Source organism: Homo sapiens, chromosome 2 (genome assembly GCF_000001405.40).
Source record: "Homo sapiens chromosome 2, GRCh38.p14 Primary Assembly".
In the NCBI taxonomy this organism is placed as follows: Eukaryota; Metazoa; Chordata; class Mammalia; order Primates; family Hominidae; genus Homo; species Homo sapiens.
Window position 1 is genome coordinate 443,398 of NC_000002.12, and position 2,907 is coordinate 446,304.

At 49.6% G+C, this 2,907-nt stretch overlaps 2 annotated features.

The window, feature by feature from the left end:
* Positions 1,250-1,751: an enhancer, noted in NCBI's record as "H3K4me1 hESC enhancer chr2:444647-445148 (GRCh37/hg19 assembly coordinates)". NCBI's record gives its function as "activates a minimal SCP1, AML or CMV promoter by ChIP-STARR-seq in primed H9 embryonic stem cells {active_cell/tissue: H9 hESC(primed)}" and the evidence as "EXISTENCE:reporter gene assay evidence [ECO:0000049][PMID:30033119]".
* Positions 1,752-2,251: an enhancer, noted in NCBI's record as "H3K4me1 hESC enhancer chr2:445149-445648 (GRCh37/hg19 assembly coordinates)". NCBI's record gives its function as "activates a minimal SCP1, AML or CMV promoter by ChIP-STARR-seq in primed H9 embryonic stem cells {active_cell/tissue: H9 hESC(primed)}" and the evidence as "EXISTENCE:reporter gene assay evidence [ECO:0000049][PMID:30033119]".

Consider the following 2,907-nt stretch of genomic DNA (forward strand, 5'->3'; position numbering starts at 1 on the left):
CAGTGAGCACCACCTCGGGCCCCTCCTCAGATCCACAGACCGGAACCTGCCTGTTAGCAAGGGCGCCGGCAGCTCCTCTGCAGACTGAAGTCTGAGCAGCTTGGCCCACAGCACTTGCTTGGCCGGTGCCTAGCCTGCACTGTGGGTCGTGTGTCTGTCCACTTCTTACCAACCCAGGCGAGGCCAAGGTCTGTGCAGGAAAAATCCCACCCCGTGTGTCCTTCAATCCCACCCCAACTTTTCCAGCGTTTGTTCCATGATATGTATTTGAAAGCCGTTGGTTCATGGTTGGTTGAAGTGACTTATTTTCAGAGACAGTCTTTTACATCTATTATTAAAATAGCAGCTAACTTTTCTCAAAATGCACACATAATACTGAAATGGATTGAGGTGAAATTAAAGGTAATTAGAGAACTTTGTACATTATATTTTAATTTGCAGTAAACTGTTTCTCTTTCGTTGTATAGCCCTTCAAAAACAGAGTTCACACTTACGCCAAACTTAATAGAGCTCAGGTTCTGTAATAGAATGAGAAACCGCTGTGATAAATCATTCCTGTCACTTGGAGAGGGCGGGCACTTCCCGTTAGCCTTTCTGATGGCTGATGGTTCCGAGGAATTCTTCTAGGAAATACTCAGAAGGTTTCTGAGTGTTGTGAAGGTAAAAAGGATGGTGTTGCAGTTGCAACAAATCATCACCCACAAAATTGATTTTTAAAATCCCAGCCCAAGGAGTCTTTTTCTACACCTGTTGAGGGCTGTGGAGAAACAGGACGCACCCACTTCCCTGAAGTCCCGTTGTGGGGGGCTCTGCTCACCCTTTCTGAGTCTTCTGGGCTATCTTTGGACTCATGTCTTTTTAGCAAAGAGAGATACCTGTTTGTTTTACTTTTCAGAGTTAGACACACAATACAAATACTTTAAAGTGGCTGATAACAGCATTTACGTGGCATTCACTATGCACTGGCCTCTGTGCAAAACGTCCGGTGGGTTCTCTTTCGTTGTTTATGTGCACTGCTTTGTTATAAAGGGTCTACAAAGGATTCAGAGGAAAAGGTGCCAGGGCGAGGCTCGTGGGCGGGTGCTGAGCTTCCACCCCCTCTCCAGCGACCCCAGGAACCTCCACGTGCTCAGCTGTCCTGAGCTCCATTTACGTTCTCTTTACAACAGTGTGGGGCTTAGGTAACCTGAAGGCCCTGAGAAGTATTGGATCCTTTTTAAATGGGGGAGGAACCCGAGACAGCCCTGGTAACTTGGTCAAGGCCACCCACTTGCAGCAGACACGGCACCAGGATTTGAACCCAGACACAGCACTGGGATTTGAACCCGGGCACAGCACCGGGATTTGCTCGGCGTGAAGTAAAGATGGGCTCGGGCGGAAGCCTCCCATTCCATGTGTGCCCTGCCTCTTCCACTGGCAGAAGCTATGTTCCCCCCATCAGGCTGGAGCCCCTGTGCCCTCTTCTCCCGGGACCCTGGCCCTGGAGGTGAGGGGCAGCATGAGAATCTCAATGACATGGCAGAGATTGTGGGGCGGCTTCACACGCGTGTTTCAGACCCGTGCTCCACTGCGACAAGGAAGCGTCCCCCACGTCCTACAGACAAAGTCGCGCCCCTGGGAAGGTGGACACGCCATACTTAATTCACGGCAGGAGTGAGGTGCTGGAGCCCACGGCCTGGGCCTCCCCGCCGGGCCCTGCCGACCTCCATGGGAATAGTGCAGGCCCAGGGCTCCTGCGTGTGTGAGTCCAGGTCAGCTCTGTCCTACTCTGTGTCTGTGGGAATGTCATCAAGCACTGGTGATCCTCACAGATGCAGCAGAGGTCACGGTACATGCCCTGCACAGGGGAAGGCACGGCCAGTGGGCTCCAGCCGCCTGCCCTGAGCCACGTTCCCCTTGGGTCTGATTTCAACATTTCACTCTGCATCTCTCTAGCGTCTGGGCTTCCAGAAGTTCCCCGCAGGATGCACGCCCCACGCCCACGTCACTGTTCGAGCCTCTTCAAAAGTTACCAGCTCTCGGTCTTTCCCTTCGCTGAGGTTAATCTAACCGAGGAAACAGACTCTCGGTCTTTTCCTTCGCTGAGGTTAATCTAACTGAGGAAATAGTCTCAATGCTTTTTCATGTTCCCACGGCATTTGCATTTTCACGGCGTTTGTGTTTTTGTTTCTGGGAAGACCAGGTTCGGGTCTGGTGTCCGAGCAGCGTGTGGTCCTGGGAACATCTTACATGAAGTGAAGTGTCCATCCTTGGGTGGGTCCCTCTGACTCAAGGCGAGTCTTGTGGAGGGACAGCTCACTTACTCATCATCGTTTACACATTTTTGTTAGGGGTGGGTGGTGCCGGGTGAGGTAGAGGCCCAGAGAAGGTGAGACCTGAGATGACAAAGTAAACAGCAAGAAATTATTTTTGAGGATCAGGTTTATTTTGCCTCCATTAGAATATCATTACTCTTTTGTTGATGTTTGCTATTTTCAAAGTATGAAGTTTGGTTTATTGGTGACTATAAATTTTTAAATCTAATTTTGCCTTGGACAAAATTCATGATTATCCAAGGGAGGAAAAAACATTCTTCGGATGCAAAAGTGCAGGAACGAGGGGTTTGATTCTGAGGCCTGGCTCTGCATTCTGTGCTTCTCAGGGGAACATGCGGCTGCATCCTGGGATCACACCTGTGCTTGGCCAGCAACTGCCACATGCAGAGCTGCGGGAAGACGAAGCAGGGAAGGGAGGGCTGGGCCTGTTCCGTGTTGCATGTAATTAAAAAAATCATCTTGTCACCATGAATCTTCTTACAGCAGCACAACAGGCTAATTGCACCAATTATGAATTCTTCATTATATTGTAAAACCAGTAACAACCTATTTTCATTGTTAAACTGAGTTAATAAAAGGTTTATGCCTTTTT